We start from the raw sequence: 14,091 nt of genomic DNA, 5'->3' as shown, positions 1-14,091 counted from the left end.
CCCAAACAGTTGATTGAAGTTTTAAGAAAGGTATGTTCTGTTTTCCCATTTACTCTTTTTCCTTAGGCTGGAAACTCAGGAGACTGTTCACTACTCTACAGTCCTTCAGGCATGGATATCCTTGGGCTGGCCCCATTCTTAGCAATTAATGTTAGGTGGTCAGACAGGGTAGTAGAAATGTGGCATGTGTGTGAGTGTGTGTGTGTTCCACAAAACATACCATACTTAAAAGTGAGAGGAACCCTTTGAGTGTATGACCTGTTAGTACTGTGTGTATTCAGTTTTCTGCATACCACCTGGCCCTCTGCCATCCCGACCTGCCTGCTTTTCTGTTTCTCTGCTTGCAATTTTTCCACTTCATTGAAAATTAGCATGTCTTGTAACATCCCTTATTCAGTTCTTTTCTTATGGCTTTCTTACTATAATAGATCTTTATATTTCCCTTCATTGTATAATTAAACCTAACATTTATTCAAGCAATACTATTAAAAATTTTTTAAAGTTTCTTACTGTTTTATGTTTTCCTTGATGTCTGATATTGCAACATCATAGCTTTGACATTAATTACTATAAATATGCTGTATTTCACCGACTTTAGATTTCAAATGAGATTTTGTGGGCTGGGCAGAGCACCAGACCTCTCTAGCATTGTATTCTGAGTTCCAAATAATTAACTCACACTGGACTTTTGAAACTCACCAAAGGCTGTAAAGAATTGTCTTAATCCAGATATCAGAATAGTTACCATTGATTCATCACAAGGAAGATACATTAACTTAATGTTCTAGATCTTCCTTGTTCATCAAATATGGCTCTGGAATGAGACTACCTGGATTCAAATACTGGTTTTACCATTTACTAACTTTCAGAATTTTTTTAATCCTCTCTATGTCTCAGTTTTGTTAGCTGTAAAATAGGGATAATAATAGCACCACAAAGAATAAAAATGAATGATAATCTGGTATATAACATAACAAAGGATATACTAACTCTTAATTTAGCAAATTATTGTTGTTAATTGCAGGTGGACTAGCTTAACAGAAAAAGAAAATCTCATTTTATTGATGAAAATGAAAATAAGGATTAATATATTTTTAAAAGTGAGTTGAAAAACAAGAGAAAATCTTTAGTGAATTAAAATTAAGATTTCTGTATAAAAGTTTGTAGCAAATGCTGAAGTTCCCAGATAAAAATCTTTGCTTCTAAAGCTCTTAGGATGAACAATTAGGATAAGCTACAGTTGGCATATTTTACAGGAACAAAATTTACCGGTAAAGGGCTGAATGATTTCTGAAACAGCTGAGAAATCCCGCTGATAGAAAGATTCTCCCTGACAGGGGACAAGAGTTCAAGCTGTGTTCTGGCATTTTCTGCAGAGGGCTTTTCCAAAATAGCACTAGGGAACTGTTAAATAAGGCACCATGCCCAGCGTTATATAGAAACCTACAACAAAGCACAGCAGCATCATTTGCAGCCACCACATTTGAAAGAGCTGAAATGCAATGGGAACCACTTGACTTGCTTGCTAAATGATCCTCCCCTTAAATCACCATTAACATAGGGGAACATAAGCTTCATGTACTGGTGAGGAAAAGTTGACACAAAATGTCCCATACGTATGAGCCATTTATGTCTGTGGCACCATACAAGGAGAAGGAAAAGCATGATGTCCTGTAATCTGCTTCTGGTGCCAAGGGATTTATAAATCCATTTTGTGAAGTTTACATTACAAATGGATTAAATTCTATTAATTTAATTTAAATGGATTAATTTAAATGGATTAAAGAAAAACAGAAATAAATTATATTTTCTTTAACTAAAAGCATATTAAATTGAAAATGTTATGAGACACCAAGATAATAATTTTTTAAAATGAAGTCCATGAGAATGGTGCAAAGTAGTATGCAAAAAACTTATCTGCCAAATGGAGAATTGTGAAACTCCCGATAGAAGTATAGCTCACTAAATTTGAGGAGAACCCAGTGGTTTCATTGTATTGACATAATTGCAGATCATATCTATAAGCTCTTCTGTGCACAGTGACTCTTGGGTGATGAACAAGTTTGCACATGGGAGTCCTTGGTACACAGTTCAGGGTAGGAGTGTAAACAGACTCTTTGTAGCTCAATTTCCATGTGGTAACAGTTCCTTGTTATTGACCAACTCTGAAATCATGTTATCTTCATCAAATCTCTATTGCTACTATTAGATGAATTAGCAGATGAATTAAAAGAATGTGCTTTATGGATTATTTTCATGACTACGTCATTGTATTTAGATCTTTTAATCACTTTGCTTCTTAAAACTATTTGCTTTTTTGTTTTCTGCAACATCCTTTCCTGCTCATTAAATACTTGGACTCTCAGGTAGATCTCTTTCAAATATCAACAGTGACACTTGCTATAAGTAACCTTTTAGAATCTCAGTTTTCTCAATTTAAAAATAGTGATAAAAATCATGTCTCCTCATTGAGTTATTGTGAAATTAAAATTGGAATAATAAAAATAACTGTTAATCCTTATATAGGGCTTTCTATGAGTCAGACATTGCCTTAAATGATCCATTAACCATTTTAGGCTTCATGCCAACTCTATAAATTTGGCACTTTTATTATCCTCAAGCCATAGCAGCACAGAGTGCTTAAGTAATTTGGTAATGGCTATAGCTACTAAGTGGTAGAATTATAATCTGAACCCAAGCGCTACGTGTGCTTTAAACCCCTCTACTATAATGCATATAAAATGCATAGCAAAACTACTTGGTAATAATAAGCACTCAATATATGTTAGCTAGTATTATTGTTTAAATCATTTTCATTTGTAACCATTACTTCCTTCTCTGGCCCTGTGATTGACTCTGTGTCTCCTAGCCATGCCTATGATGTTGAGGTCCTTCAGTCATTTATCCTTTCTTTTCCTAATTCTACACACTCTCCCTGGGTAGTTTCATCTACTCTCTTAACTTCAATAACATTTATATGCTGATGATTTCACAGCTTTATCTTTTACTCTGGCTATTCTTCTGAATTCCAAACACATATATCTACCTTTTTTTTTTGACAGTTTGGCTTAATAATACCTGAAATTTATCATTTATCTGCTCCACCTTCCAGCTGCATGAACAGAGCTACAATCCAATTATTCTCCCAAGCTAGCCACTTTGGAGTCAGCCTCTACTTCTTGCTCCTCTCTAAATCCAAGAGGTTATTACATCTTCCCGATTTTATCTCACTCATGTCTCAGGAAACTGACACTCTTTACCTCCTGTGCTACTGCCTCTATCCAGGCTTCCAGGAACCTCTTCGCTCCAAATAAAATGAACTTTCCACTGATCTCTTTGCTACTAGTCTCCCCTTTCAAATCCTTTCCATCACTATTCCCAACTCTTCATTTTCTTATCGCTGACTAACCCTCACAGTAACCCTGTAACATAATGTATGATTATTACAGAGTAAAATGATCATACACTGCATGTGATTAGCAGCTAAGGCTTAGAGTTAGTATCAGTTATTTCATTTATGATTTTATGAATTCAGGAGAATTGGGTTATTCAATATTATGATGTGGCTGGGCGGTGGGCTGCCTGAAGTGGAATAGAGAAGATGAATAGAGAAGTCAGGGAAGCCAAGGCCCTATAAGCTCTCCTTTTCATAAATCACCCGCCCAGACGTGAAGTCACTTAAGATGATGGCAGTTGCTAGGGTTGTGATTAAAAAAAAATGTACTGGCTTCTGAACTCTTCAACAAGTAGGTTTACAGTGGTGATAACTGAGGTAGAGAGAAGTGAAGGTGGACACCATATATCCCAAAAAGAGATATTCATCAAGTGATGGTAGAATATGGCCTGGAAACCACTTTGGGGAAGGAGAAAAATGCCAACGACATCATTTAACCCTACGACACAGAGCATGAGATAGAATAAGCAGCTTTCTCTGGACTGGGCTGCTGAGGAAGCATGGAATCAGAGGCCCAGCAGGCATGTATCAAGCCCAGGAGAGGAGAGATGCTCAGTGAAGAGAGTGACAGTATGGAGGATTGCGGGACCAGCAGTCAGTTCAAAATGGACTAAGTTAGGAGGAAGGTGGTTCAGGACATTGTGTCTGGTGGTAGAAGCCCATGAGAAAATGAAGGACTGGGGAGGCTTATATGCTGGGTTGTAGTTGACCACAGGTAACAGGCATAGGTGGCCTGGAGGACTAAAGAGGTTGCAGGTTTTAAACAGCACTTGTCCTGGAAGCCCAGAAGAATGGGCATCTTAGGATTGCCTGAAAATATCTCACTACGACTTGAATTCACTGGTTTTTCTGATGAAATCCTATCCCAGGAGAACAGATAGCATGTTGAGTGAATTCCTGGGACCACTTCTAGATATCTTCCGAGCTAGGGCTGAAAGTACCATATTCATTAGGAATCTGGACAACAATGGCAATAAAATAAAAAGAAAGTAAGATAAAAGGATAAAAAATAAAACCAGTTTTCCCAAGTCTCAACCACACTTACTGGCTCTTTGTACAGTTACTTATGGAAACTCCGTCAGGGCAGACTAACAGAGAACACTTTGGTAAGTATTGCTGTAGTTGAAAGACCTTTTAAGCCAATTTACAATAAGAAAAATTTTCAAGCACTGGGAAAAACCTGGGTTAATTCTTAATATAAATAATGTAGTAAGCTTTTTTGTGTTTTAATTGAAGCTGAAGTTGAGCTGTAGTGAGGATTGTTCTTTATTAATAAAGAAAATAAAAGAGCTTGTGTAAACATAGCAGAGAATTCTTCTAATTGTTAAAATATTTATATGATATGCCATTTCATAATTTAATAAAATATTTGATTATTAAACTCATGAAATTATTTATGCTACTAAGAAGAACGGTTAATGTGGGTACAGTGTTAGATTGAGATAATATCATTTATGGGGAGGAGGCGCTTTGTGAAGTTGGCCCCATTTTCTAGATAAAATTATTAACATTATTTCAGTTAAGAAACATTGTACTGTGAATAGCATGCATTTTAAATGATTTAAACTATGAGTATGGTAGGTATAAGGTGTGTCAACCAGTTTGAAAATATAAGCTTATAAAGTGTGACAAACAAGTTCAAGTAAGAAAAAAAGAATGTACAGAGTTTGTAAGAAATCCAGGCATCCAATAATACTTCACACATACATCTTTCTGCTTTAGCTATATCTTTAGAAACATTGAAACTTGACAATTACAACAAATAAAGTTGTTATGCAGGGAATATGCAATTTTGAAATGCCAGAAGGTTACTAGAAGTTCTCTGATAAGCAATTCTTTGAAAAGGCATCAAGCAAGATTTATCTGGATCAATGAAAAAAATCTCAATAAACATAATGCAATTTGAACATTGTGTAAGTACAGGCCAAGGGATATGAGTCTTTCTTCACAAATGGATCTCTAACCTGATGGCTAGCTTTCTTTATAAAATTGCATGTCATGTCTAAAGATCCTTATGGCAAAACAGGATCAAAAGAAATCACTGTGTCACATGAATATGTGAATCCTTTACCAAATAATTTGAAAACCTTTCAGTAGAACTGATTTAGCACACAGCTATGTTATATCTTCTAACTTCTTACTGTATTAAAAATAAGATGAGTTATAGACGTTGGTTAGCAGAGAGGGAATGCATAAGAAGGATTTTAAGTGGTCTTCATGAAAGCTAGAGAAATGAGTTGTTAAAGAAGCCTCTGAGTGTTTCATAGCTATTGTAGATAACTTGAGTCTTCTTAAGGATTAGAATTCATATTTTAACAAATTTGTGCCAGGCGCAGTGGCTCATGCCTGTAATCCCAGCACTTTGGGAGGCTGAGGCAGAAGTATCACTTGAGGCCAGCAGATGGAGACCAGCCTAGGCAACACAGTGAGATCCCATCTCTACCCCCCAACAACAACAACAATAAACAAACAAAAAAAATTAGCATACAGTCAGACAGAAGGGTGTACCATGGAATTCCTACAAGTAACTAATGTTAGAAGAAATATAAGCAGCACTGGGAAGTCAAAAATTGAATGAAGATTTTTAAAGAAAATCTTTCATATTTTGCCCAGACTTAGCACACATTCAAAAGAGAGGCTGGGCTGTGGGTGGAATTCTCAATAAGCACAGCTGCACTGGCACAATCATGTGCATCATCCTTCCCTGACTCAGGAACTCAAGGTTGATCACCATGTTCCAAGAGAGGCAAAGGACAAAGAACACTGGACTGAGCATTATAAAGATGATGGGGCCAGAGATCTGAGAATAATTTCATTTGCAGATATTGAAAGGGACTTTTCAGATAGCATGGCCCTCTATGATCTCTAAGGCTTATTGATATTGGTGAACCTAAACTTAATATCTTGAATGGATATGTGGGCATTGGCTGGGAGGATGCTATGGGAACTGATAGGGCCCTGAGAAGAGTGGACTGGGAAGGAACCATGGGGTCTGGGGAAGAATTTGTCCTTCTTGGCTAAAGGGAGCAGTGGAGACTTCAGTAGAAGAGTAAGGGAAAGTGAACACACTTTACACAGGTACTGCTTGGAATGAACGTTGGTTCCCCAGCTGTCACACATTCTCACACAGATATTCTTGGCTTCAAGGGTAAATTTGTTTGTTTGTTTTGACCAACCAAGTGAACACAAAAAAGATCAAGTCACTTAAATCATCAGCTTTCTTGAAGTGGTAGATACTTTGAATGAATCGATTTTTTTTTTTTTTGACTCTCAGACTCATCCGTAGATATAGACTTTTGCTTAAGCAGAATTTATGGATTTTCTTTTCTTCTAGTGGTGATGACAAATTTATTTTGTTCTATCATTTTTGTCAGGTTCTTCTAGCTATAAAAACATGCATTGTGAGTCAGTGGGAAGGAGTGAGCCCAGCTGGTAATGTGACTCCAGGAGCATGTGAGTCCACATGGAGGGGATTTCCATTACTTTGATGCCATTAGCACACACCTTTGGTCAGTGAGCTTATCAGCTACAGACAAATGTTTCCAAATTAATGGTGAGACACCCTTAAACAATAAATAATATCTGGATATAAACCCTCATCATCTATGTCCACATGTGACAGCCCCAGGCTGCATCTGTGTAGCTTCTTAAGAAGAATGCCAACTGGAGCAGACCCTAAAGCCTTACAAAAATTCAGCCACATTATGGCCTCCTTATCACTAATATCTATTACTGTGTTTTGGGTGGAAATTGAACTGATCTTCCCTGATTTTCCCCTCATAAGGTCATGCAGATTGCTACCTACATTAAATGGTTTGCTGGTTGCTGGCAACCTGTTGCGTCTGCCTCTTCTCAGGTATTAAAGGTGTAATGACCAGTTTGTAACTCTCAAAGATATTTCCCTCTTAAAACAAACCAACAAACAGAAAACAGCCTTACAGAAGGAAATTTCATTTTTTTTTTTTAACTTCAGGACACTTTCTGAAGGTTCTTAAAATATCTGTGATAGGCCCTTTTTGGACATAAATCTTTCTTTTCATGGAGCATTTCCACTTTGGTTTCTCTGACATTGTTTTAACAAATGTTAATCCATTATCTCTGTTTTTCATCTACTCCTTTATGGTAGAGCAGGCCAACTAAATGATTTCTTCTGAGTCTTACTTATAAGATTTTACAGAACACTTTCACGAGTGTTAGGGTTGTATACACACTCATTAGTTCTCTGTATGTGTCTGATGTAATAATAACATTCATTGTACATCTGTCTAAAGCTTTATAAACTGTTTAGAGGAACTTTATATAAAACATTTCCTGAAAAAAGCAATAATCACAAGCCTAATCTTTCTAGTTGCTTTCACGTGTCACTAGGCTGCTTGACAGTCTACGAGAATTTCCTGTTCCTATCAGATCAAATCCGGATTCCTTGTCTTGGCATTCACAAAGCACCCCCATCCTACACTTAATGCAACCAATTAGTTCTTCCAAGGTTCCCCAAAGAAGACCTCATGCTTTGGCCAGGTCAGTCTCTGAGGTTCATGGAACAGGATGTAGTCAATTCTGCCTTCATTCATTGTTTTCATCATTTCAAGTCTTACCTTCTGCTGCTTCTGCAAGTACTTCCAGCACTTCCTCTCCCATATCATGGTCCACCTTCTCCAAGATGTTATTTCATTTCTCACGTTGATACCAACTTCTCCTTCTACTGAACTCTCAGAGCCTCTACATTCTGGTCAAAGACTTTTTATTCTTTTGCATACAATTGTGTATTTGATAATATTTTGTGTATATATAAGTGTATAAATGTAGACATATATTTTATGTATGTCTTATGTTTCCAAGAAGATAAGTTTCCCAAAGGAAAGGGTCATATCATATGTTTGTATTATTGTCCTTTGTGGCACCTAATGCTTCACCTGATGTATATCACTTAAAAGGTGTCCCTGGCCGGGCGCAGTGGCTCACGCCTATAATCCCAGCACTTTGGGAAGCTGAGGCAGGCAGATTATCTGACACCAGGAGTTCCAGACCAGCCTGGGCAACATGGTGAAACCCCGTCTCTACTAAAAATACAAAAATTAACTGGGTGGGCCAGGCGTGGTGGCTCACACCTGTAATCCCAGCACTTTGGGAGGCCGAGGCAGGTGGACTGCCTGAGGTCAGGAGTTTGAGACCAGTCTGGCCAACATGGTGAAACCATGTCTCTACTATAAATACAAAAAAATTAGCCGGACGTGGTGGTATAATCCCAGCTACTCAGGAGGCTGAGGCAGGGGAACTGCTTGAACCAGGGTGGTGGAGATTGCAGTGAGCCGAGATCGTGCCACTGCACTCCAGCCTGGGTGACAGAGTGGGACTCTGTCTCAAAAAAAAAAAAAAAAATTAACTGGCTGTGGTGGCATCTGCCTGTAGTCTCAGCTACTCAGGAGGCTGAGGCAGGAGAATCGCTTGAACCCAGGAGGCAGAGGTTGCAGTGAGCCAAGATCAGTCCACTGCATTCCACTCAAGCCTCGGTGAAAGAGTGAGACTCTGTCTCAAAAAACAAAACAAATGAAAAAAAGTGTCCCCAACTGGAATTAATTACCCTATTCCCTGCAATACTTTCAGACTTGATGTTGTTTATTCAACTATTAAAGCACTTATCACAGCTGTTTCCCACTGTGTATTGTGAGCTCTGGATGAGTCACGGTCCCGTCTAATTCATCTTTTTATCTCTCAAAGCACCTAAGATAGCATTGTTTATAAAAAGAATTTAACAGCACTTGCTAATTAAGTTTCTATTAAATTTCAACTTTATTTAACATATCAGCCTTCTCAGTAGCCATCTTTTGGAAGAACAAACATTTCCACAGTTAACATTGATTATACTTGAAATTATATTGGCATTTGGCATGTGAGAAGAAAATGTTTGATGCTTTCCTAATTTGTTTACTCAAAAATAATGTTAAAGTCTAGATTTAAATGTAAGTTAGTGAGTTGTGCTGTCAGATCTTTACTTAAGGGGCAGTTGCTATATCAAAAATGCAATAACAGATATTTCAACATAGTAGGTACTTTCTATAGAAATGTTAATATATCAATGTGTTACTCAGTTCTCAGCATAAGATTTTACATTATTGTTATTTACTTCAGTGTCTTTATGAGACACTGAAGATTTTGAGATTAATTGATCTGCAACTGGCAAAAGTGAATTGAAATTGAATTTTCATTGTATCATTCAAGAAAACTTCATGACACAATCCATCCATAACCGACTACCTTGTATTTTTTTTGCTTTTTTGATGTAAATATGACACTATTTCTTTCTTCAGAGGTGGGCAGAACTTTTCATAGACTTGGACAGTCATGGGAAATCATTTCACTAGGCCTTTGGGTAATTTTAATTAAAAATTCATTTCAAGTCAATCTCTTATGCTTATCAGAAGCATCTGCCATGTTTTCCCCACTTAAGAACTTGAGCTGAAAATATGAGCATTTTCCTGTTATGAAAGCGCCACATCTGTGTAAAGTTAAAATAGCTTCTAAGGACAATTTTCAACACATTTGGATCTTCCAAATTATAGTTTTTAAAATGCAGCTTTCAGAGAACAACACTGATGCCTCATTCAATGGTGTGACTGCATTTCTTGCTATACATGATGCCTTCTCTCTCAGCATGTGTTTAATTCCTTGAACCATTAGCCTACTCTTAGTTTCCTCACTAGGCTTATGGCCAGGACATAGCACACCGCCTGCCACATAACAGTTGCTTAAAAGTACTTATTGATTGAATGGATGAGTGAATGAGTGAGTTTAAGGATATAAAAGCCCTGTCTTCATTTATTTCTTCTATGTGTTCTAACTGTAGTTACTGATTCTAGCCTAGAATGTTCTCTGAATATAAAAATGCCCTTGAGCTCCTGAAACTAATTGGTGAAAACTAAATAGAGAAGCAAAGGTTCCAGAAAGATAAAGTGACTTTGTACAAACAAGAAAAGAAAATTTTTGTACTATACATTTTATTAGAAAAGGTACTTCTATCTGCTAGAAAATTCTATAAAACTCCAACACCAAAAATCTACAGTATGAATGAAGTTTCCCTTGATTTGCTTCTGAGGTTTATTACAGCCTCTCAGTAACCAAAATAAAAGTCTTCTAAAGTCTGTCTTTTCTTGCTCAAGGCTCAGATATTGCTTCCTGAATCAGATTTTTGTTCCTTTTTTAGGTGAAGCCTGCATTTTTTGGCCCTTGACCCTATACTGGCAAGGTTATGAGGTTATGCAGCTCCAATGTATTCCATGTGAATGGTGCCCTGGGAGATCTGCCCCATGGGGGTCTCATGTGCCTTAACACACAGCATGTTTGTTATCCCAGGGTATTTCTTAGAAGAAAAATATTTCCTATTTTTAAGAGAGTCTGATGTTACCCATCTGTATTAGTCAAGGTTCTTCAGAGAGAACCAATAGGGTATATAAAGATATGGATGTAAACAGATATATGGGAGAGGATTTATTAAACAAACCGGCATTATTATGGAGGCTGAGAAGTTCCAAGACATGCCATCTGCAAGCTGGAGACTTTGGGATGCTGGTAACATGGCTCAGCCCAATCCGAGGGCCTCAGAAACATGGGAGCCGATGGTATAACTCTTGTCTGTGGCCAAAGGCCTGAGAAGACGGGTGGAGAGGGGCACGAGGAATAACGTAAGTCTAAAAGCTAGGGAGCCTGGAGTTGTTGTCCAAGGACAGGAAAGGAAGAGTGTAACCCAGCTCCAGCAGATACATAACATATTCACCTTGTCTCTGTTTTGGTTCTCTCTGGGCTGCCAGCAGATTGCACGGAACCTGCCCGCATTGAGGGCAGATCTTCCCCACCCAGTCCACTCAGGCTCACATGTTAATCTTCTCCGGAAACACCTTCACAGGCACACCCCAAAATAATGCTTTATCAAGTTTCCATGTATTCCTTAATCCGGTCAAGTTGACACCTCAAATTAACCACCTCACTGTCATGTACACCAAACCGTAGCACTTTTTACTAAACCAGTGTGGTCTATGGATAACAATTCAAGTTGTTCTTTTGATGGTAAATCACACTAGTTTAAAACCGGAGTTATACGTATAGGGGGCTTCTGATCTCTCCACCTCCCTACTTTACTAGGGTTTAACTGACAAATAAACATTGCATATATTTATAGTGTACAATATGATGTTTTGATATATGTATACATTGTGCTATGATTAAGTCAAGCTAATTAACATCCATTGCCTCACATACTTATGGTTTTGTGATGAGAACATTTAAGATTTACTCTCTTAGCAATTTTCAAGTATACATTATTACTAGCTATAGTCACCAATAGATCTCCAAAACTTACTCTTCCTAACTGAAATTTTGTATCCTTTGGACAATATCTCCCAATTCCTCCCCTCTGCCCACCCTTTGCAACCACTCTCCTACTCTCTGCTTCTATGAGTTCAACTTTGTCTTTATTATTTGACAAATATAAATCGTATACTATGTACAATGTGTTGTTTTGAAATATGTATACATTGTGGAATAGTTAAATTTGGCTCATTAACATATGCATCACTTCATATACTTATTTTTTATAATGAACACCTAATATCTACTCTCTTAGCAATTTTCAAGAATAAAATACATTGTTTTTAACTATAGTCACTATGTTGTACAATAGAGTTCTTGAACTTATTCCTCCTTTCTAAGTGAAATGTATCCTTTGACTAACATCTCCCCAGTCTCTTCCCCAGCCCTTTGTAACCACCATTCTATTATCAATTTCTATGAATTCAACTTTTTTAGATTCCATATGTAAGTGAGATCAGGCAGTGTTTGCCTTTCTGTGCCTGGCTTATTTCACTTAACATGATGTCCTTCAAGTTCATCCACGTTGTTACATATGACAGAATTTTCTTCTCTTTTAAGCTATACAGTAGAGATTGCAGATATCTACCACATTTATCCATTCATCCATCCATTGACAGACACTTAGGTTGATTCCATATCTTGACTTTTGTGAATAATGAATGCTACAGTGAACGTGGGAGTGGACCAGCTCTATTTATTAAGAAAGCATTACCAGTTCCCACAGAATTTAGTTCTTTCTAAAATGTCTTCTGCAGGATATATTGATGTGTGTGTATATATATACACACACAATCATTATTCACAGGATATATATATATCATATATATGTAATATACAATATGTACATATATTACATATACACATATTATATATAATATATATTTATTTGTAATATATATTTGTAATATATGATGATCCTTAAGAAATCATGTTTCAAATACTAGGTAATCATTTGTAGAACTGAGAGAAGGAGATTTTTCTGGATCAACGGTTCACATTCTATCTACCAATTTTCCCTTGATAACAAAAAATAGCACTTGAAATTTGCAATAAATAGCTGGGTTTTTTTAAAATGGTATTTTATGCAATTGCTCCCAAAGCAATTCAGTTACTCCAAATACATTTTTTATTAGAAAAAATTTCAACTATGCAATGTGCATTTTGGTTTGTAATAAGTGGTATGTTTTGGATATGTGTCCCCACCCAAATCTCATGTTGAAATGTAATCTCCAATGCTGGAGGTGAGGCCTGGTGGGAGGTGATTGGATCATAGGGGCAGTTTCTCATGAATGGTTTAGCAGCATCCCCGTTGTGCTGTTCTCATGAGATCTGGTTGTTCAAAAGTGTAGGGCACCTCCCTGCTCTCTCTCTTCTTCCTTCTCAGGGCATGTGAGATGTGCCTGCTTCCTCATCGCCTTCTAACATAATAGTAAGTTTCCTGAGGCCTCCCCAGAAGCAGAAGCCACTAAGCTTCCTGTATAGCCTGCAGAACTGTGAGCCAATTAAAGATATTTCCTTTATACATTACCCAATCTCAGGTATTTATTTATAGCAATGTGAGAATAAACTAATACGATGAGTAAGCTGTATTTCGCACAAATACCTGTTCTAGAGATTCTTCTCTTCATTCTCTGTAACTTAATCATCTTCTATTTTCTGTGTATTCAAATTATCCATTTCCATGAACTTTTTTGATATGAGCATTCAAATATCTTCAAACTTATTTAAAATTGACATTTAAAAAACGTTCTTCAATTTGGGTTCCCCATTTAGCTACCTCTCATTTTCCTTTCTACACCATCAAATTTCCCAAATAGCAATCTTATGTTGACTGTCTAAACTTCTCCATCTCCCTTTCACCTTTTACCCCAGTGCAAACTAGCTCATTTTCCCACCACTACACTGAACCTGTTCCCAGTAAGACTGTCTCTGACCTCTGAATTGGGGAAGCCAACAGGAACTTCTGTCTTTACCAATCTTGTTTGTTTCGTATAATACCACTTGCAGTACTCCCTGAAAAAAGTTCTTCCCTTGGTTTTGGTAAAACCATTCTGTCCTTATTTTCACCCCTCCATCTCTTTGGCTAATTATTCTCAGTGTCTCATGATGATACAATTAACTTTTTCTCAACCAAAATCATAAGTGTTCTCTAGGGTTCTTCCCCATGCTTCTTTTCTTTCTGATACACATCCTTCTTGGGATAACTCATACTGCTCATAGCTTTAAATACTTATATACAAATGACTTTTAAATCAGTATCTCTACACCAGATA

The 14,091-nt window shown here is 37.1% G+C and overlaps 1 protein-coding gene across 45 annotated transcripts in view; it reads right to left on the bottom strand.

Annotated features, from left to right (window-relative positions):
• The window catches only part of DTNA (dystrobrevin alpha), a 398,533-nt gene that overhangs the window by 257,976 nt on the left and 126,466 nt on the right, over positions 1–14,091 (bottom strand). The gene's annotated exons all lie outside the window — the stretch shown is intronic.

Source organism: Homo sapiens, chromosome 18, assembly GCF_000001405.40.
Source record: "Homo sapiens chromosome 18, GRCh38.p14 Primary Assembly".
In the NCBI taxonomy this organism is placed as follows: domain Eukaryota; kingdom Metazoa; phylum Chordata; class Mammalia; order Primates; family Hominidae; genus Homo; species Homo sapiens.
This window is presented reverse-complemented; position numbering and strand designations above follow the sequence as displayed.